This window comes from Homo sapiens, chromosome 4, assembly GCF_000001405.40.
Source record: "Homo sapiens chromosome 4, GRCh38.p14 Primary Assembly".
Taxonomy (NCBI): domain Eukaryota; kingdom Metazoa; phylum Chordata; class Mammalia; order Primates; family Hominidae; genus Homo; species Homo sapiens.
In genome coordinates this window covers 55,114,476-55,137,078 of record NC_000004.12, presented here as the reverse complement: position 1 = coordinate 55,137,078, position 22,603 = coordinate 55,114,476, and the positions used below count along the sequence as shown (strand labels likewise).

Here is a 22,603-nt window from a genome sequence, read left to right as displayed (position 1 = left end):
CAGATACATTAAAAAAGAATTGGCAAGACTGAGTGGTAGTCTGAATGGGTGGGCTGAAAGATAAGTAGCTTTTTACTGTTTTGCCAACAGGTACATTTTATTGAGATTAGTAAATACAACCAGCATAAGAGTCAGCTTTGGAGTGTAGACTTTGGAAACACATTGCTTTGGCTCAAGTCCTGGCTCCTCCATACACAAGCTGCTTAGGATTGGGTAAGTTACTTAACCTCCCTCAGCCCTAATTTCTGCATCTGTGAAATGTGTAGCCTGATGGTGAGAATTAAGGGAGTCAACACACGTAAAATGCTTACAACAGGGCCTGACACATGATAACTCAATACATGTTAGTCATTATTATGATGATACTGTTGGATGCAGAAAAAACTATTTCAGAAGAAGAATGAAAATCTTGTCATCAATTATTTGGAAGTTTAGAGTAAACGATTATGTAAGCCACACTAAACTTGTCTTTCATCTTACAATATAATGAGAGAGACAGACACACATACTCAAATAAACCTGTTATAAGGCATGATATCCTTTATGTCACAACAGATATTCTTGGACCGTGGGGAATATAATTGTCATTGATTAGCTGTCTCTTTAACATCCATTTCCCCCTGCTTCCTAGAAAAATATTTAGAATTTTTTGAGTAATAGTCCCTTTTCTATTTTAATTATGTAGTTTGGTGTTATTGAGCCTATTCTTAATTGCAAAGGTGGACTCTGACATAGGCTATCAGATCCTTCCTGCTTCTGGTAATTGGTTTAGGGATAAGGCAATGAGATTTAAGATGTGCTTAGGTCAAAGGATCAAAGGATCTTCCCTTTTATTTCTCAAGAGACACTGTCTTTCTGTGGACAGTGTGGGGTGAGAATGTGTAGTCATGTTTTTTTTTTCTATTATGAGGACAGCCTGAAGGCAGAATTGAGAAAATCACAGAGAAAAACAGCAGGATGACACAATGAGACTCTGGAAAAAACTGTCTGAAGCCAGCCCATAACTTACAACAACATGATCCTATACATTCAGGCCAAATTGAGTTGGTTTTCCTGTTTCTTACAACTTAAGGAATCCTTACTCTTGCAGGCATGGAGAGAGTAAGTCAGATGGGGAGATGGGAATGAGTAGGGATTGCAGAGACTTCCTGGGGCCTCTTTTTAAAGAGGGGCCAACTACGTATGGGCAGATATTGGAATAAAGCACATTCAAGGCATACAGTAAGCAAGAGACAAAAAAGTGTAATGCATTTTCTGGAGGTGGCCACTGAAATCTAGAAAGTTGGACTAAGAGTATGTCCACGGTATACCGGGAGGTAAGTTGTATAAATAGGAAGCAGCAAAGAACAAAACCCTTAAATACAAGGCTTGGGATTTGGGGCTTTATGCTATGTACAGAGGTCAACTGTCCAAGGTGAAGGACAGATGAACTTTGTGTTTTAGGAAGATAACTTTGGCAGCAGAGTGATGAGTGGACTGGAATATTCCAGGAAAAAGGCAAACTGGTCACGAGTCAGGGCAGTCTGATGAATGAAAATAGGAGATGGATATGAGGGAAGTAAAGAATGTAGACAAAATTGGATTTGAGAGGAAAAGAAAAGGCAGGGGGATATCATGGAATGTAGTATAAGCATCTAGAGGGACTTCGAGCTTAAGAAGGCTGAAGGAGGCAGGGTGGGTATAAACAGACAAAGAATTCAGTTTTTGGCACTTTGAATTTAAGAAATTGGTGGAACATACACAGAGATGTCCAGGAAGAATTAGAGATTAGAGGCTGGAGCTAGGGTAGAAAATCAGAGTTGGAGAGCACAATTTTTCAAGTTTTCTCCATAAGGAAGATAGTCAAAGGCAAAAGAGGAAATACAATTCCTGAGAAAGTCATGGAAGAGTACAAGGGATGGTGACCAAGAATGGATTTGGCGATCCCTATGTTTAGGGTTGAGCAAAGGAATGTCAGCCAGTGAAGGGCATTGGCTGGTAGGTAGGAGTGTACCCATGAATGTTTCAAGCTTCAACAAAGACGGAAGTTCAAGAAGAGGGTGGACAATGGGATGTCTGTTGTGGAGATGCTGGGCAGAGTCAAGAGTAAGAAGTTATTGTACATGAGGAGAGAAGGTGAGGGATGTCCTTTTATCTTTCAAGAACTCGTTTGAAGGAAAGGTCAAAGTACTAGACTACTAAGTAGCTTCAGGGAGCAGCAAGGTCAAGTTTTCTTAGGATAAGGAAATAGAAGCATTTTTCTATATATCCAAAGACCATTTTAATGTGGAATATTTTTGATGTGGTGCTTTGTTACTAGAATCATTTTCTCCACAGCTGGATCTTTTATTTATATTATGTGATCAGATGCATGAAATGACTCCCTTACAGCCTTTCATCTGCCTATGACCAGCCTGACCAATTATTGGATGATTATCAATTAGATCTAAAGTTGTATTTTTCATTTTATTTTGAAATTTCTCTCTTTGTGAGGCATTCCTTGCGGAGATTTTTTTTTAATTAAGTGAAGCAAGGCAGTGATATATTAGAAATGAACGTTCAGAAACACTGCTCAAAGAAAAAAATTTTATTTATGCCTCCAGGGACTATTCACCAATGTTTTGGAAACTCTGGAGACTAAATTTATATACAAAGAACATAAAACTTTTCTGCTGTCATTGACTTGCTCTCAACACTGGTGAAGTGGCATTACCAGGAAACATTATTTTTAGTCTCTAAAAATGTGAACAGTATTGCAAACTAATTCAACTAACCTGGAAGTGTATACATTCTTCTTATATGGGAATGGTAATCTGTAGCACTTCTCTGGGAACCAAAAGTATATTTTTGCACTATTCAGTTCTTTGAAAACTTGATAGGCTTAAAGGGGGAGGATGGTATTAATTCACTGGAAAATGGTTACGAGTCTGCAAATGACACAGATGCAACATTTCAATCACACGTTTCTTGTATAGTACATGCAAATCTTGTAAATGCTTTATTTCTTTTTCTTCATTGTACTCAAAATCAAAAACAAAAATCTTCAATCCCCACTGCTTAATAAATTAAGAACTAACTCTTTCACTCCGTTGTGTCTATGTTGACATTGTATGGTTCCATTTATTCCCACAAGTTGCTCTCTGTAAAGACATTTGCAATGAATAGTCAAGAGGCATGTGATTCTGGAAAAATAAAAAGCAAAGGAGGAACAAATAGCAGCAGAAATGGAAATAACAAAAATAACTTGGACATCATTATTGTGTTTAGAGGTGAATATGCACAGGGACTGTGTTAGGCACGGAGAATACAAAATCAATGTGACCTAATCCCTGATTTGAGGGAGAAATATTTGAATAAATATGTGATTATGCTATCAGATGTTGCATAAGTGCTATGTGCGTACAGGAAAAGGAAAATAATTTCCTAGTTCTGTGAATAACAAAATAGTCCACATTAATTTGTCAATGATCAAGTATAAATTCAGCATAACTGGATATATTTATTAAATGGATGACTATTATCTAAATTTGAATTTAAGAATAATCATATAAAGTACATTTTATATAGCTAGCACATATAACATTAACCCAAGTATCTTTACAATAGCTTTATTTAATTAGACATAACACAATAAGTCTATAGTATACAAAATAGATTTTATTAATAGGCACCATCATCATGTCCTTAACCGTTTTTATTAGACCTTACCAACTATCCTTCCAAACTTAACTACTTGCTCAGGTAAGATTTACCTTTGCCTATTTCTCCTAGAAGAGTCTGAATTGAAGCAGACAGCTGAATAAAAAAACAAAACATATCACTTGGGACAGATATTTGCACTGGGTATGGAAGGTATGTCCAGGAGGACAAATGACAAAAATTCATGGTAGAAAAGAAATGCCCCAAATGCGCAAGTGATTATTTGTATAGAAGCAACTGCTCCTTTTTTTTGTTTTTTTTTTTGTTGTTTTTTTTTTTGAAGAGAAGATCTGTGGTTTGGGGGTTGGGTGGAAGGTAAATATTCAATGCGGCTGGGATTCTGCAGGTGGGGAGGGCAAGATCTAATTACCTGCTTTGCATTCTTCCTTGGTCAGCCATCTCAGAGTGCCTCTTCTAAGTCACTTAGCTTTTCATGCATCTAGGAAAATGGAAGCTATTGTTATGGAGAGGCAGAGGAAGTCAGTGGCATCAATTCACTTAGCCTCATGCCTTGAATGAGATTAGTCCTCAAAAAAACAAAAAACCAAAAACAAAAAGCTATTTGTATGTGCTAGGAGGGGTCTGTTTTGGGTGCTTAATACTGCTCTGCTTTTAAGTCCTGATTCCACCACTTACAGTTATGGGACATTGGAAAAGTTACTTAAACTTTCTAAACCTCGGCCGGGCGCGGTGGCTCACGCCTGTAATCCCAGCACTTTGGGAGGCCGAGGCGGGTGGATCATGAGGTCAGGAGATCGAGACCATCCTGGCTAACAAGGTGAAACCCCGTCTCTACTAAAAATACAAAAAATTAGCCGGGCGCGGTGGCGGGCGCCTGTAGTCCCAGCTACTCGGGAGGCTGAGGCAGGAGAATGGCGTGAACCCGGGAAGCGGAGCTTGCAGTGAGCCGAGATTGCGCCACTGCAGTCCGCAGTCCGGCCTGGGCGACAGAGCGAGACTCCGTCTCAAAAAAAAAAAAAAAAAAAAAAAAAAAAAAAAACTTTCTAAACCTCATTTTCCCATCTCCCTTAAATGGGAATAATTATAGTATCTTTTCTATTGAGTTATTATGTGCATTAAATAAGATAATCCAAGGAAAATACCTGACACATAGTAACTGCTCCAAAAATCTACCCCTTCTTTTTATTGTTATTGAAAAAAGCAAAGAATGCCCTGTTTTTTTTTTTTACCATATTCCTAATTATTGATGAAAAAACTTCATTGATTATTTACAAAGAGATATAACAACTTTTTTTTTGGGCAAGACTTTTAGGAAGGCAAAGGGACATTTACTTAAATTAAGAATAAATATTTTTTCTCTTTACTTCTTTTCTTTCTAAGGAATACTAATAGTGCTTGCCACCTCATGGGATGTTATGAGGATGAAATGAGAAATAAAGTACTCAGAACAGAGCCTGCTCAAATGATGTGCTCAAAAAGTGTTAGCTCTTAATATTTTTTAGCACCCTTCTCTGGTGCTGTGTGGACTTTCAGTTGGTTATTTAAATTCTTTGCATATTTTACACATTTAAAAATTATTGTATCTATTCTCATGTGAGATATTCCAAGAAATTATACGGGAGAGTTTGGGACTGGAACATAGTTATACGTGTTTATAGTAACTGAGATTTTTTTCCTTTGCAGGGAGCAAGTAATCAAGTTCTCTTTAATCTCTTTCACTAAAAGGATGGAGAGTTTGCTTTATATTTACTAGAATATAAGGCTTTGTGAATAAAATTGAACACTGTTGGACACATTCAAGGCAGGCCTGGCTTTGTGGTGACATAGCCTTCTTTTTCTTGAACATACAAATATAGCTTAAGTTAAATGAATAAATCTCACAAGGAGTAAAATAAACTTAGATGTTTAAAGAAGGTAGATAATGAGAAACAAAGGGTATGCTCATGATCTCCCAAGTCGCAATAGTTGTAAGTATGGATGGGCTGTGAAACTGAGCCAACATCTGGTGAGGTAGTCATAGGCTCTGGTAAGTTGAAAATAAATGAACATGGAAAGAAAAATACAGTAAACATGACAAAGTTGTCAATGCAAACATGTAATCAATAAATGGTCATATTTAAAAATATAACAGCCCCTAGAAAAGAGAGTTGATGTCTTTTATAATATTTTTTATTTGTAAAAGTAATACTTTCTTGGTTTGAAAAAAATTATAGAAATATATGAAGCAAAAAGTACATGTTCTCATCCCTCTGCCTCTGTGCCTCAATCATTTCCCCAAGGTAGGTATTTTTTTGGTGTGTACCCTTCTAGATATTTTCTGCAAAATTTTCTATTATGCATGTATGTCTCCATGTATCTCTTCTCTATATCTATATCTATATCTCAAAGAAATATAGAAAATACTATCTTTTTTTTTAGTCAGTGTGTCACTCTGTCACCCAGGGTGGAATGCTGTGGTGCAATCATAGCTCACTGCAGCCTCAGCCTCCTGGCATCAAGCAATCCTCCTGCCTCAGCCTCCTAAACTGCTGGGATTACAGGCATGAGCCACCATACCTGGCCAGGAAATATTTTTGAACAGCTGATGTTCTTAGGCGATGAAGGTATGTGTGGAAGACACCTGATGAAAGGCCTTGGTAACAAGTACTTTAAGGAAGAAAATTAAACATCTATTGAATCCTTATTACCACCATCACCATTTTACACTTTATAGAGCACTTCCATGAGATGATCTCATCTGAGTCTCGTAACAGTCCTTAAGGTAGGTAAGAATTATTATTTTCATTGACAAATGATGAAGCTGCTGCCTGAAATGATTAAAAGATAATGCTCAAGGACATTCCAAATCCTTATTTTCACCAAATCAAGGAAAAGACAATGGAAAAGTTAGTGTTGTATTGGCCTGGGCATCCCTTTGATTACAGTCATTTAAAACAGATTTTTTTTTTTTTAATCATGGAAACTTTCAAACACGTAAAAGTAGAGAGAATAGTCAAATGAATCTTTAAGTACCACTGTTCAACTTCCACAGTTATTTTTTTTAATTTTTTTAAAATTATACTTTAAGTTCTAGGTTTAATGTGCAGGTTTGTTACATATGTATATATGTGCCATGTTGGTGTGCTGTACCCATTAACTCGTCATTTACATTAGGTATATCCCCTACTGCTATCCCTCCCCCCTCCCCCCACCCCACAACAGGCCCAGGAGTGTGATGTTCCCCTTCCTGTGTCCATGTGTTCTCATTGTTCAGTTCCCACCTATGAGTGAGAACATGTGGTGTTTGGTTTTTTGTCCTTGCGATAGTTTGCTGAGAATGATGGTTTCCAGCTTCATCCATGTCCCTACAAAAGACATGAACTCATCCTTTTTTATGGCTGCATAGTATTCCATGGTGTATATGTGCCACATTTTCTTAATCCAGTCTATCATTGATGGATATTTGGGTTGGTTCCAAGTCTTTGCTATTGTGAATAGTGCCGCAATAAACATACATGTGCATGTGTCTTTATAGCAGCATGATTTATAATCCTTTGGGTATATACCCAGTAATGGGATGGCTGGGTCAAATGGTATTTCTAGTTTAGATCCCTGAGGAATTGCCACACTGTCTTCCACAATGGTTGAACTAGTTTACAGTCCCACCAACAGTGTGAAAGTGTTCCTATTTCTCCACATGCTCTCTAGCACCTGTTGTTTCCTGACTTTTTAATGATTGCCATTCTAACTGGTGTGAGATGCTATCTCATTGTGGTTTTGATTTGCATTTCTCTGATGACCAGTGATGATGAGCATTTTCTCATGTGTCTGTTGGCTGCATAAATGTCTTCTTTTGAGAAGTGTCTGTTCATGTCCTTTGCCCACTTTTTGATGCGATTGTTTGTTTTTTTCTTGTAAATTTGTTTGAGTTCTTTGCAGATTCTGGATATTAGCCCTTTGTCAGATGAGTAGATTGCAAAAATTTTCTCCCATTCTGTAGGTTGTCTGTTCACTCTGATGGTAGTTTCTTTTGCTGTGCAGAAGCTCTTTAGTTTAATGAGATCCCATTTGTCAATTTTGGCTTTTGTTGCCATTGCTTTTGGTGTTTTAGTCATGAAGTCCTTGCCCATGCCTATGTCCTGAATGGTATTGCCTAGGTTTTCTTCTAGGGTTTTTATGGTTTTAGGTCTGACATTTAAGTCTTTAATCCATCTTGAATTAATTTTTGTATAAGGTGTAAGGAAGGGATCCAGTTTCAGCTTTCTACATATGGCTAGCCAGTTTTCCCAGCACCATTTATTAAATAGGGAATCCTTTCCCCATTGCTTGTTTCTGTCAGGTTTGTTGAAGATCAGATGGTTGTAGATGTGTGGTATTATTTCTGAGGGTTCTGTTCTGTTCCATTGGTCTATATCTCTGTTTTGGTACCAGTACCATGCTGTTTTGGTTACTGTAGCCTTGTAGTATAGTTTGAAGTCAGGTAGCATGATGCCTCCAGCTTTGTTCTTTTGGCTTAGATTTGTCTTGGCAATTCAGGCTCTTTTTTGGTTCCATATGAACTTTAAAGTAGTTTTTTCCAATTCTGTGAAGAAAGTCATTGGTAGCTTGATGGGGATGGTATTGAATCTACAAATTACCTTGGGCAGTATGGCCATTTTCACGATATTGATTCTTCCTATCCATGAACATGGAATGTTCTTCCATTTGTTTGTGTCCTCTTTTATTTCATTGAGCAATGGTTTGTAGTTCTTCTTGAAGAGGTCCTTCACATCCCCTGTAAGTTGGATTCCTGGGTATTTTATTCTCTTTGAAGCAATTGAACTTCCACAGTTATTAACCTTTGACAAATCTTCATATAACTTGTTAAGACATGGAGTCCAAAATACTGTTGGTAATGTAACCAAATTTGGAGATCATGGAGAGTAATTTATGCAGTGTGCTTTGAGTATGAACAATGTATATTCTGTATGTACAAGCCCAGAAAAGTAGCTGGAGACAAGAAGTGCTTAAAGATTAAATTAAATTTGTCTTGGGTGAGGCTATTACAATGATTCCTCATTTAAGCTCATCTTGACATTATTTTCACCATCGTAACCCCAGTTCCTGGTTCAATGCCTAGCATATAGTAGGTGCTCAAAAACTGTTGAATGAATGAGCCTGCTTAGCAGTTTAGATCTCAGCAGCATGAAGAAGCCCATGCATTGTAGTATAAGCAACCTTTGCAGAATGTTTCTTAATGTGTATCTGGTGCTTTCTATGTCCAAGATCTTTACTAGCTGTGTTGGGGCCTACTCCAAGTGCCTTACATGCAGTAACTCCTTTAATTCTTGTAAGAACCCTATGAAGAAGGTACTATTATAATTTTTTTTGTGTTTCATAGATAAGTTACTTGTAAGTTGGTAAAGATCACACAGATCATAAGCGGTAGATCTGGGAATAAAATCCAGAGTCTGTGCACTTAGCTACTACTCTGCTGTGGCATCTGAATAGCATCTATGGAACACTCAACACATTTGGGGCACTTTGCTAGGTGCCTTACTGTTGGGTTAACTCACAAAAGTCACTCCTTTGCAATGCCAGATAACGAGAGGGTGCTGCACATGGAACAGCCTTTCTTTCTTTCTTTTCTATCTTTTTTTTTTTTAACAGACTTTGCCATTTTTTTTGTGAACCTAAGGCACTTCTAAGTGCTGTGTGGGAGGGAATGTGGTAGACTGATTTCATTGAGACTCTGCCAAATTCTGGTCTTGCGGCCATCAAAGACGCATCATTTCCTCCAAGACTTCTAAAGGGGGCTATTACCACGGGCCTGCAGGTTCTGGTTTGCATTCAGAGGAGACACTATCTTCTTAAATGAGACATGGAAGAGGAAGTGTCATGAACTGTAAATAAGGCTGATAGGGAATTGTTTGGTGATGGGGATGGAGAAAAACTGCCCTCTCCAAACCAGGTTCCATCTCCCACCCCTTTATCCAACTTTGCCAGAGTCCATCCTATTTTATTTGCTGAGTTTACTAGCAGGAAGAGAGGAGTTTCTTTAAAGATTCTCTCCCCTCCCCAAATAAATACCTCCCAGATAAATATGAGTACATCTATATAGTAGAGCACTATGCCAACATTGAAAAGATGGAAGGATGGAGCTTTGTTCGCAGCCAGCTTAGGCAACATAGTGAGACCCTGCCTCTATATAAAAATAAATAAATAAATAAATAAATAAATAAATAAATAAAAGATGGAGCTTTAAAGGTTGATGTAGAACGAATCTCCAGTGTATATTATAAAGTGAAGGCTGGGCAGGGTGGCTCGTGCTTGTAATCCCAGCACTTTGGGAGACTGAGGCAGGAGGATGGACTGAGTCCAGGCATTGGAGACCAGCCTGGGCAACATAGTGAGACCTTGTCTCAAATAAATAAATCAAATTTAAAGGGAAAAAAGCCAAGGCTCAAATAGCATTTATACCAAGCAATTGTGGGAAGAGAAGGGTGACATGTCTACATACTTGTGTTTAAGAATCTGCTTGGAAAAAAAAGGAAACATAAAAATGCCTCTGCCAAAAGAAAAGTCTTTTCACTCTAAGCCTTTTTGTGTTTTTCCAAAATTTTTTTTTGCCATATACATTCATTATATTTCAGCATTAAAATATTTCACCTGTCAACTTGGAAAAGTAAAAGCGTGAATACAGTAAATATTTAAAAACAGATGAAGATAAGTAACAGGTTACATTAATTGTATACAATCAATCTAGTTTGAATTAGGTGTAGATATAATAATTCTGTGTGTTTATCTTGGTGAAGAATGGTCCTTTAGGTTGTCATTAAAAAGCACCTCTGGGAGGTAAAAGACATAGGCATCTGGAAGATTCATATTTAATGAAGTTAGGGGACATTTGATGTCACTCCCCAGGTGTGGGGAGATATGGACAGAAAACCAGAAGGAACGAATGTGGTCAGGAAGGAATTGGAGTTCCCCTCCAAACAGCTGCCACAAGAAGTCCACACACGTGGAGACAGTTGTGCAATTTGGTCACAGAGTGTCCTAGGTGCTTTTGCTTCATTGCTCCTCCACTGAAGCACGCTGGCAGCTGGCCTCCTTCCCCTGGGACTAAGGATATCTTGGCTGGAAGCTCTGCTCTGAAAAGGGGCATGGCCAAACTTTCACTAGGGCTCTTCGTTGGGGAGCACGATGGACAAAAGCCTTCTTGGGGCTAGGCAGGTCACTTCAAACTTGGAGCCGCCAAATATTTTGGGAAATAGCGGGAATGTTGGCGAACTGGGCAAGTGCGTTTTCTGATTAAGAGCAACCAGATTCAGCTTTTTAAACTACAATTATACTGGCCAAACAAAATACCCTTATACAAAAACCAAAACTACTGGCAGGAGTCGCTGCCAGCTTGCGACCCGGCATACTTGGCTGAGTATCCGCTTCTCCCTTGTGGCTCCAAACTGCTGCAGATTCTCGGCCACTTCAGACGCGCGCGATGGCGAAGAGGGTCCTGCACTTTGACGCGCCTGGTGAGGGAGCGCTGCTCTTCGCAGCGCTCCTGGTGATGCTCCCCAAATTTCGGGGACCGGCAAGCGATTAAATCTTGGAGTTGCTCAGCGCCCGTTACCGAGTACTTTTTATTTACACCAGAAACAAAGTTGTTGCTCTGGGATGTTCTCTCCTGGGCGACTTGGGGCCCAGCGCAGTCCAGTTGTGTGGGGAAATGGGGAGATGTAAATGGGCTTGGGGAGCTGGAGATCGCCGCCGGGTACCCGGGTGAGGGGCGGGGCTGGCCGCACGGGAGAGCCCCTCCTCCGCTCCGGCCCCGCCCCGCATGGCCCCGCCTCCGCGCTCTAGAGTTTCGGCACCAGCTCCCACCCTGCACTGAGTCCCGGGACCCCGGGAGAGCGGTCAATGTGTGGTCGCTGCGTTTCCTCTGCCTGCGCCGGGCATCACTTGCGCGCCGCAGAAAGTCCGTCTGGCAGCCTGGATATCCTCTCCTACCGGCACCCGCAGACGCCCCTGCAGCCGCGGTCGGCGCCCGGGCTCCCTAGCCCTGTGCGCTCAACTGTCCTGCGCTGCGGGGTGCCGCGAGTTCCACCTCCGCGCCTCCTTCTCTAGACAGGCGCTGGGAGAAAGAACCGGCTCCCGAGTTCTGGGCATTTCGCCCGGCTCGAGGTGCAGGATGCAGAGCAAGGTGCTGCTGGCCGTCGCCCTGTGGCTCTGCGTGGAGACCCGGGCCGCCTCTGTGGGTAAGGAGCCCACTCTGGAGGAGGAAGGCAGACAGGTCGGGTGAGGGCGGAGAGGACCTGAAAGCCAGATCTAACTCGGAATCGTAGAGCTGGAGAGTTGGACAGGACTTGACATTTTGCGATCTTTCATTTACCAGTGGGGAAACTGAGGCTCAGAGACTGGCCCAAGATTACCCAGCGAGTCTGTGGTCGCCTGTGCTCTAGCCCAGTTCCTTTTCTAGGACTCTGGTTTGCGACAGGGACCTCGGCTGGAGCATGTCCTGAGATGCCGACACACCCTCAGGCTCTTGGGAGGCTGGGGTGGGAAGGCGCCTGGGGTTGGCAGGCAGGAGGTGCCTCCGCAGGCGAGAACAGGCGGTGAAAAGTTGTCTGGCTGCGCGCAACATCCTAGTCCGGGCCCGGGGAAGAAAACCTTGCCGGAATCTCAGGCCGGGTCTCCCGGATCGGACGGTACACTCGGTTCTGCCTCTTTGCGGGACCCGGCCCGTTGTTGTCTTCATGCTCGAACACACTTGCACACCACTGTGTGAAGTGGGGTCTGGAGCGGAGAGAAACTTTTTTTCCTTCCTTGGTGCAGGACGCCGCTCTCCTTGCAGAGCGAAGAAGGGGGGGAATAGGGACTTGTCCTGGGGGCTTTGACAGCTTCCCCAAGGGTCTCCAAGTAACAGCCAACTGTCCTGCGTAAAGCATTGCACATCTTTCAAAGCGCTGTGGTCCTTGGTGTAAGCGCATAGTCAGAAGTTCAAGCTCCGAAAACCTTTCCTGTGGGCCTTGGTACCTAGCTTTAGTGCCATTCCTTCCTCTCCCTGCCGCCTAAAATTTCCGTCTCCTTCAATTAGGAACACACACGTTCTTCATGCAATAGCTGTCTGTCTTTTCTTCCTCACTTTCCTTTCTCTCTCAACCCCTTAGATAATATTTCTTTCCTGCAGCCAGTTTGCTGATATCCAGATTTCCACCCTTTGCAGGGTGAGAAAGGGGAAAGGGTCAGAGAAAGAAAAAAAAAAAGTCGAATAATTCAGGGAAAAAAATTTCTTACTCCCTAAGACAAGAATCACATGTCTTAGAAGACACTCACACCCACATACAGTACCAGGATCATCTGTCCATGGTTACTGAATTTTCTTTATAATGACTTGGTTCAACGGGTCCAGTCCACCATGGACACTCATTTGTCCCAGACAAGCCCTCTCTCTCCCCCTTTCTGGGCAGAGAATGAAGGTCTGGAACATGTGGTTGCTCTGTATTCCACAAAGAAGTGAGTTGCTTTTAAGCCTGGGGTGTTTCCTAGCGTAGTAGTAACGGCAGGCCGGTCGCCCTGAATATAATGGTGAACTTGCCCTTTTGGAGTGCATTACTTGCTTAATTGGATTGGGCTGTAATTGGTGCCATCAAATTCTAGAGACAGAGGCACTGTTGTTTTTCCTTCCCGTCTTTGAGCTGGAAGGGTAACAGTGCACAAATTAATTAATATTGGTTATGGGATTTGAACATAGAAGGGCTTTTTATTGAGTAGTAGCATGTGTACCTCTTACAGTTATTTCTTTAGAACTTTCTGAAGAGTCCAGCTCAAGCTTGCCAATGAAAACGAATGACATTTAATGGAGCAAAAACAAAAAACAAAAAACTATGTTGGTCTACAAATATGAATTTGAAGTTATTGAGAGCCTTGTTGAATAGATTTTTGTTGTAAACGTGTCTCTAGAATAGTATGGCATAGTCTCAGCTTCCTATGAATGAAGGACATACCTTTTCTTTTTTAAAATATTTGTTACACAGGAAAGTGTGTCTAGAATGTGATCTGTGGCAATAAATTATGAGAGACCTTCAAGAGTTTCTGATTTTGGTAGCCGAGTGGGCACAGTTTATTGAGAATCATTTTTACTGCCATTTGTTTTCTCACAAGAATGTGCCCAAATAATGGTTTTTTTCTCATTTGGATGGCAGTGTGAATTGTACATCATGTTTTCAGCATCTTTCTCAACCTAGTGTTCCCCAGTCAAGTTTGAAATCTGTGTTATCCAAATGAATTGTTTTCATTTTCCTTTTCTTAGACAAAGTGGGACTCCAGGTTTCATTTTGCTTTTAAACATTTTGGTTTTTTGTTTGCCTGTTTTGGGGGCAGTTATTTCTTTCATATTAAAAAGTACTGTGCAGGCTGGGTGCAGTGGCTCATTCCTGTAATCCCAGCACTTAGGGAAGCAGAGGCAGGAGGATCGCTTGAGTCCAGGAGTTCAAGAAGTGCCTGGGCAACATAGCGAGACCCCATTCTCTATTTAAAACATAAATGTAACCCCCGTTCCACGCACAAAGTACTGTGCAAATTAATTAAACATGACCACCCAGACCAGCAACTGTCCAAGAGTGGCCCATAGACCATCTGTGGTAGGATAATTTGAAATGCTTGTTAAAATGCAGATTTGTAGACCCAGGGATATTCTGACAGAGTCTAAAGTCTTAAGAACAAAACTGTTCTAAACATAAGTCAGTACCAATGCCAGTTAATTTCTGAGATATATTGATATAACTTAGTTTCCAGTTTTTTAAAAACCATATTATTGACTTAAAAACCATGATATTGACCAGTTATGTCAGTAACTTATTTTGCACATCTGTGTGGTGTGTGAGAACATGTGCAGTCACTTATTCATTTTGCCTGCATTTGTTCATATTGGGATCCTCAGATTCAATGCACTGGATGTTTGCACTGGGTATTTACTTATACTCTCTCTATTTATTCCGTCTCATACTTCGTCCTATTTGTTCATACTCTCTTATTTGCCCAGCAAGGTCAATGCCAGTTTAGGCCTAGGGAGTCATTTTTTCTTAGTTGATATGACTTAGAAAGCTTGGGAGCCTGCCCAACATCAATTACTTTTTTAAAGCTGGTATTTTCTAGGTCTTGATATTTATTAAGACCCTAGCATAGTGGACAATTTTTCTTTCTCTCATGCTTTTTCAACACCTCATAGCTCTTCACATTTAGTTGACAGAGAATTCAGTTATCTTGCTGTAGAGTGACCCATGGTGAGGAATCTATGCCATGGTACTTTTCTGGTTCTTATCCCTTATAGGTAAAGACAAGTTTCTTATGTCTGAAGCTTGATGTCAGGATGAGTTCAGGGCTTTGATGAATAAGTTCAGATCTCCCAATTGTAATTCATTAGCATTGCACTTAAAAAAATTTATATACGTTTTTAAAAAAGGGTAATGCTAATGAATTACAATAGAGAGAAAAGTACATTAGTTTGCATGTATGTGTGAAACTGGGAAAATTTTTCACGAAAATATTCATATACTTTTTAAAAAAAGGGTAATGCTAATGAATTACAGTAGACAGAAAAGTATATTAATTTGCACATATGTGTAAAATTGGGAAAATTCCACACATACATAAAAGTATATTAATATGCATGTATGTGTGGAATTGGGGAATGTTTTCTCTTCCTCAGTTTCTCTCCCTTGCTTTTAATGTACAGTCTTTATGAGCCATTATTTCAGCTGTGGCAGTTTGGTTACCAGGGGAAGCGCACTAGAAAATTGATAAAGGAAAATGAGACAAGGTCATAGATTCTCTCACTCCCTTCAGGGTACGTAGATGAACTATATAAAAATCCGTCTAAGTGGGATTCGTTAATCAGCAATTTAGTCAAATGTGTACATCCTATGTTCTATAAGAAATGTCAGTGGGTCCTTTCCCAAGGGAGTGAGATCATCAGATGAAGGTTCATTTGGTTTCAATGTCCCGTATCCTTTTGTAAGACCTTGAAGTTGGCAATGCAGGAAAACAGGAACTCCACCCTAGCTCCATGAATTGCAGAACTGTTGTGTTGGTTTATGACCATCTGCCCATTCTTCCTGTTATGACACAGCTTGTGAACTTTTACTGAGAATGGTGAAAAGTAAATTCCCAGTTTTATACAATGAATTGCTGAAGAGGCCTTTTAAAGTATAGAGTATGCATTGTTTATGGAAGGTGTTTCCTATTAGGTCTAACTCAGTGGCAACTACATTCATTTATTTAATTTGTTTCTAGGTTTGCCTAGTGTTTCTCTTGATCTGCCCAGGCTCAGCATACAAAAAGACATACTTACAATTAAGGCTAATACAACTCTTCAAATTACTTGCAGGTAAGGATTCATTCTAGATCTAGATTTCTTGTGTTAAGTAACTGATTGTTTATTGAGTGGAAATAATTTCCAGTAGAGCAGAATTATAATAGAGCTTGTAGTAATTGTTCATAAGTGGTGAGGTTTCTAAGAACTGATGTAATAATGGAAAATGAGAAGAATTTTCTCTCAAAAATTCTGTACAATTTTGCTGGTGTTTTTATACTATTCTCTGCCAACATGCATACACACACACACACACACACGCACACAAATACACACCCACACCCACATTCCAATAACCAGTACAGCCACCTGGCGTATAGTAGACATACGCTCAATAAATATGAATGAATAAATGAAGTTGAGGGCATACATTTAAGGAATAGAGTTGAAAAAATTTGGGACTATATTTATTATGCTTGGTATGATTCTTGAACACTTATTATCCCTTTCCAAAAACTTTGCTTTATAAGAAATTTATTACTATAATTACTTAGGCAGTAATATTTAATAGCAATTTAATATTTAGTGGGTAATATTACTGAGCGCATGATCTACATAAATAATGGACTTCGGGCCCTGCCTTGATATTCTGGAATGCATCTTTCCCCACTTGCTAGCAAGAAGTCATGCTATTGATTTTTGATAACTGGAGAAGTAGACTTCTTTGTCAAGAAGAAGAGGCCTTTAAATTTTGCCTTTCAACCCTTACCCCAGGACGAAAGATAGAAGACCCTTGGGTTTAACATAGTGATCACACACGAAAGGCATGGAGCCTTCTTAGGACCTGTGTGTTTTTGGTAGAGACTGTGACAAGTGGAGGTGATGTTACCCTCCTGGAAGAGTGCTGGGGGTCCACAAAGGACCTTGGGTAGGTTATTGCCATTGCTTCATACTTGTTGAATACTAAGCATTAAACCGAATGACATACATCTATTTTAGACTGCAGTATAAAGAATACCCTAGCCCCTTACCAATACCCAGCCCTTGGGAAAAAACACAGTAGCAGGTGCTGTTTCTCTAGCTTTACTTGTTTAAGACACATTTCCCATTAGATTTTCCTTTTACCGACCCTCGATAACAAGGTTATTTGAAATCCCCAAGGATCCCATGCTCCCTTTTTAAAACTCTGCATAAACATTTCTTATGTTCTGAAAAAAACCATGGAGTGTGTTAAAAGTAACTTCATTGATTTAGCTGCAACTTCCTGGAAATTTTAAGTTCTTTGAATGAAGGGCCAATAATGTTACATTCTTCTTGATGTTGACTATCTTCTTATCTTCCTTGGGGCCTTGTAGAGAAATGCTGCAGTACAAGCCATCTATGTTTTAATGCGAGGTCCTTACAAGGTCCTGAGGGACTCTTACTTGCACCTCCTTCCTTCCTAACCTCACTTCTTACTCCCCTTTGCTCACTCTTACCTGGCTGCTCTGGTTTCCTGGCTGTTCCCTTAATACTCCAGATATGCACCTGCTCCAGGGCCTTTCCATGTGCTGTTTTTGCTCCTGTAATACTGCTCTTCATGATGTTCCTATGGCTAGCTTTATCAAGACCACCTCCTGCAAAATTCTTTACTCTTTTCTTTGTATCTTCTATATTTTTCTCCATAGTACTAAACACTATCTTTTATACAATAAACTTTCCTTACTTTTTAATTGCCTGTTTTCTCCAGTTAGACTGAGGTTCCATAAAGGCATTGATTTTTGTCTGATTTGTTCACTGCTCTTTCTCTAGTCCTTAACAAGTTTGGCACATAGTAGATGCTTAATAGATATTTGTTGAAAGAAAGAATGCATTAATTAATGGAAAACTCAGGAATCTTTATAAGTGACTTCTGAAGCTGAGTTTATAACTTTTCATCATATGTCAATCTGACTTGTTGGTAGAAGACTTTGTTTTTTTTTTTTTGAGGCAGGGTTGCCCTCTTGCCCAGGCTGAAGTGCAGTGGTGTGATTTTGGCTCACTGCAACCTCCACCTCCCGGGTTCAAGCAATTCTCATGCCTCAGCCTCCTGAGTAGCTGGGATTACAGGCATGCGCCACCACACCTGGCTCATTTTTGTATTTTTAGTAGAGACAGGGTTTTACCATGTTGCCCAGCCTGGTCTCGAACTCCTGGCCTCAGGTGATCCATCCGCCTTGGCCTCCCAAAGTGCTGGGATTATAGGCATGAGCCACCATGCCTGGCCGGTAGAAGACTGACTGTGTCTGTTGAAGAGTTTATTTAAGTTTCAAAACCAAATTTTCTCTTTTCTTAGAAATAGCCTCACAGTCTGGCACTTCATATTAATACCTCCCTGAAATTAATTTTTCAGGGGACAGAGGGACTTGGACTGGCTTTGGCCCAATAATCAGAGTGGCAGTGAGCAAAGGGTGGAGGTGACTGAGTGCAGCGATGGCCTCTTCTGTAAGACACTCACAATTCCAAAAGTGATCGGAAATGACACTGGAGCCTACAAGTGCTTCTACCGGGAAACTGACTTGGCCTCGGTCATTTATGTCTATGTTCAAGGTAAGTGGTGAAATAAAATTCATTTCCCACGTCTCTTTACCAGTTATAAAAGACAATAGGCTCAAAGAAGAATTGAGTACAACAAAGGGCTTGCTCTAAAGGCTGTTTGCCAAGAGGAATACACACAATTCTTCTCTCCTGAGGCTTTCTCTGAGAAATAAGACTCATTGATTCTGGAGCTTGGGCCGTGTTACCTCTTTTTTGCCCAGTTAGTTTGGGTCTGATCTTTGTTTCCAAGGTAAATCTGTGTTCACTGTTGGCCATTGAGACTTATAAAAAGTCTTCCTATGTTTGAGAAGAAAACCTAAAATTCTTGAAATCGAGGAAGATTTGGGGGTGAATTATGGAGAAATTTCTGTGGAGAGATAAGTTATCTACAGCAGAGTAGGAGATTTTCCCAAGAATGCATAGGAAAGCATTTTTTGCCAAGGGCTCTGGAGTTTTTTGCACATAGGAACCTTTTTTTCTTACTAGTATTTCATAAAAAACAATTCCCATACTCATGTGCAAATAAAGACATTGCTTCAGACTCTTTTCAGGACAATGTTTCTTTCCTTTGCTTGTTTGGTCTGAGATCTTGGATGATATGCTGTATCTTTCTAGGATGTGCAGTTTGGGATTGATATTATGAAGGCTGACTTAACATCCATATAGTATAAAATAAATGTCACACATATTCTGCATTTATAATGAGTTATGCATTCTTTTGTGTTTCAAAAATCTTACACTATCTTATCTTTTCTGTGAAAACCTAACTTAACTAATGAGATCCCTATGATATAAATTTAAGGAATGTAAGGGCTGCATCATAGTTTGGTTGGATGTACCAAATATTTTTCTTTTCAGTGAAGATAAACAGACATTTTATGTATTTACGTATATGCCTTTTTACATCCCAGAGTATTTGAGACAGGTGAAGATGACTTAGACTTTTTTCCCAGAAGCAGCTTTTACAGGGCAAGAATTTCATCAGCTTTGGGAAACACACTTGCATATCTCTGCTTACATTTCAGTAGTGTAATATGGTCAGTGCAATGAAAAAGTGGAGACCACATCAAAATAACCTATGCCACTGGATTCACAATGTTTGAGAAATATCTTTGCCCAGAGTAAGCACTGTCAAAGATAGAATTCTGTGCCCTCCTCCTTCCCTCCACAAGATTTGAAAGAGACAAGGCTCACATCTTGGAGAATTTCTGGCTCCTTTTGACCTGGCAGTCTTGAGAGATGCAGCTCGGTCAGAAGATTGCAAGGATTTCCTGCTTTCAGCCTGTCTAGAAATACTACAAGATGAACATCCCCCATATCTCATTATTTACTTCTTCCTAAGTCAGGAAACTTGGAGACATGTGAAAATTCATTTCATGAGTTTCAGTAAATATTTTATTTTGAGAGGCTGGGTGGTGGTTTGGGTTTCTTTTGTTTATTTCCTTTTTTTGAGATACCGAAATAGAATTGATTTACTAAATAGGTTTAGTCTTACGTCAAAGGGTTAATTTAGCTTCCAAAGGCTTGCTCTGTAAGCAAGTTATGTAATATTTCATAACATGTGGATGAAAGGTAGGCAATATTAAGAAGTGGCAATCCCTAGCACTGTTTATTGGTACACTGCCTGTCTTTGGGTATACCATTAAATTCTGCTTCCTGTCTAAGCTTAAAGTTCTAGGAGTTGGGCTGTCCAAGATTTTGGCCATGAAGTTAAACAATGGGAAAGGAAACACTGAAGTATTCTCTATGGATAGGTGTTTAATGTCCCCTCTGGTCGCCACCTTACTTCCCTAGTCTTCTGACCCCATTCTCTTCAGCAATGGATGGAGCCAGGAAGTGAGCCCTGGCCTCATAAGATAATGGCTATGGCATGTGGTGGGCTAGATTGGCTGCTTTTCTGTGCTTTCCAGCTGGGAAGGAAATCAAACTTCTGCTGTTGCAGGGAATTAGCTGCCTTTGTCCCCTGTGGTTTAATTAACTCTTTCTTCACTTTGACTGACTATTATGAAGCACTCTGAGAATGCTTGATGGGATGTGTTGGGCATAGCAATGTGAAATGTTATCTCTCTGAGATTTCAAGCATGACTCCACACCACATCATCTCTATCTCTGAGGAATGGACTAGGTTTCCAGCAGCATGTTAACATTGTATGAGTAATGTTTGATTGGCCTTGAAATCTTTTTTTTTTTTTTTTTTTGAGACGGAGTTTTGCTCTTGTTGCCCAGGCTAAAGTGCAGTGGTGCTATCTCAGCTCACTGCAACTTCTGCCCCCCGGTTCAAATGATTCTCCTGCCTCAGCCTCTGAAATAGCTGGGACTACAGGTGCGTGCCATCATGCCTGGCTAATTTTTTGTATTTTTCGTAGAGATGGGGTTTTGCCACGTTGGTCAGGCTGGTCTCAAACTCCTGACCTCAAGTGATCCACCTGCCTCAGCCTCCCAAAGTGCTGGGATTACAGGCGTGAGCCAAGAACCCAGTCAGAATCTCTTCAGTTTTCTTCTCAGTCTTTGGAGTGGTGACTTTTCAAATGTTTGTCATTGAAGATATCAATGACTGCTAAATGTTAAACTAAATGCAAAAACAATTAAACATGGTTTTAGAAAGAATCATATCCCTAGTCTTCAGAATCTTAAAATGCTCACATGAATGGTCCTCTTGAATAACCAAATTCAAAAGTGTTAGCTGTTTCCTGTTAATCTAAAGATCCTTTGGGATCCATTCATTTATTTTCATGGAATTTACATTATTTACCTAAAGAGAGAGCACATGAGTATTTTAAATATTAGTAAAACTTGTCGGTAAAGTGTATAGATTTAACTTTAAATTTTAAAGTAAATATTATCCTTCATTTTGAAAAAATTATAATGATTAATCTTTTAAAATGTGAAATCTATAAAAATATATTCTGCTTGTCAATAAACCTTGTGAAAGGAGTCAATCTCAATTGGGAGTTTTTTTTCAAAATTTTTATACACACAGATATATACACATGCATGTGCATGCACAAACACACACACACACATACACACACACCCTCATGTAGCACAGATATCTATCAGCAGAATAATCTGTGGATGCCTTTGGTTGTGTGAGGTGTCCCTTCCAGTCATTCACTTGTCTGGTTAGAGTTTAGGAACCTGAAAAATGACCAACTTTTCTAGTAAATACTATTAACTCATTAATAAAACTAAATTTTCTTCTAGATTACAGATCTCCATTTATTGCTTCTGTTAGTGACCAACATGGAGTCGTGTACATTACTGAGAACAAAAACAAAACTGTGGTGATTCCATGTCTCGGGTCCATTTCAAATCTCAACGTGTCACTTTGTGCAGTAAGTTGCATCTCCTCCAATCGTCTCTTAAGTTTTTATAATTTTAAGCTAATATTAAGATGGGTAACCTGTTTATAATATTCACAATGAGTTTTAAGGATCCTTTAGGAAGGGTCAAATGCAATGAATAAAACTAATTAGTATTCTTAAAAATAAGATGAATTCTTCAGTGATCATTGTACATGGCTCTCATTTTTGGTACTGGATTAAATATTTGATATGTCTTTTTATTACCCAGAGATACCCAGAAAAGAGATTTGTTCCTGATGGTAACAGAATTTCCTGGGACAGCAAGAAGGGCTTTACTATTCCCAGCTACATGATCAGCTATGCTGGCATGGTCTTCTGTGAAGCAAAAATTAATGATGAAAGTTACCAGTCTATTATGTACATAGTTGTCGTTGTAGGTAAGAGGACATTTCCTTTCCATATCATTAATAACATATCCTTGTATTAAGATCTTGGAGATAACAACATAGAGTGAAGAAGGATATTGAAAAGTATAGGAACTCAGGATATGGTGTTGGGCAATTCATCTGCTCTTCTCTACCAAATAAACCCATGTGCAATTGAGGTTGTCTCTTTTCTTGCCAAGATTAAGGAAGAAAAAGAAAACTTTTTAAAAAAAGGATGAAAGCGAATGGTATTACTCGAGCACATTTTATGAAGAATTCAATGTTCAGAGCATTGCTTGCTATCAATTATTTCAATTATGACTATTTTATGGAAACTTCAGCAATTTGCTAAAGCTGGCCCTACTGGCCTAGGGCTACTGACCACTGAAAGTTTACTACTTTTCTGTCCA

At 39.8% G+C, this 22,603-nt stretch overlaps 1 protein-coding gene across 1 annotated transcript in view, besides 1 other annotated feature; it reads left to right on the top strand.

Moving 5' to 3' along the window:
- Positions 3,804-4,417: an enhancer, noted in NCBI's record as "OCT4-NANOG-H3K4me1 hESC enhancer chr4:55998829-55999442 (GRCh37/hg19 assembly coordinates)". NCBI's record gives its function as "activates a minimal SCP1, AML or CMV promoter by ChIP-STARR-seq in naive H9 embryonic stem cells {active_cell/tissue: H9 hESC(naive)}" and the evidence as "EXISTENCE:reporter gene assay evidence [ECO:0000049][PMID:30033119]".
- KDR (kinase insert domain receptor) overlaps positions 11,484-22,603 on the top strand; it is a 47,115-nt gene continuing 35,995 nt past the window's right edge. The window contains exons 1-5 of the mRNA NM_002253.4: positions 11,484-11,852; positions 15,889-15,982; positions 18,279-18,475; positions 21,668-21,798; positions 22,037-22,205. Coding sequence (NP_002244.1) covers positions 11,786-11,852; positions 15,889-15,982; positions 18,279-18,475; positions 21,668-21,798; positions 22,037-22,205 — 658 coding nt within the window. The 5' untranslated portion in view covers positions 11,484-11,785. The remainder of the gene's footprint in view (positions 11,853-15,888; positions 15,983-18,278; positions 18,476-21,667; positions 21,799-22,036; positions 22,206-22,603) is intronic.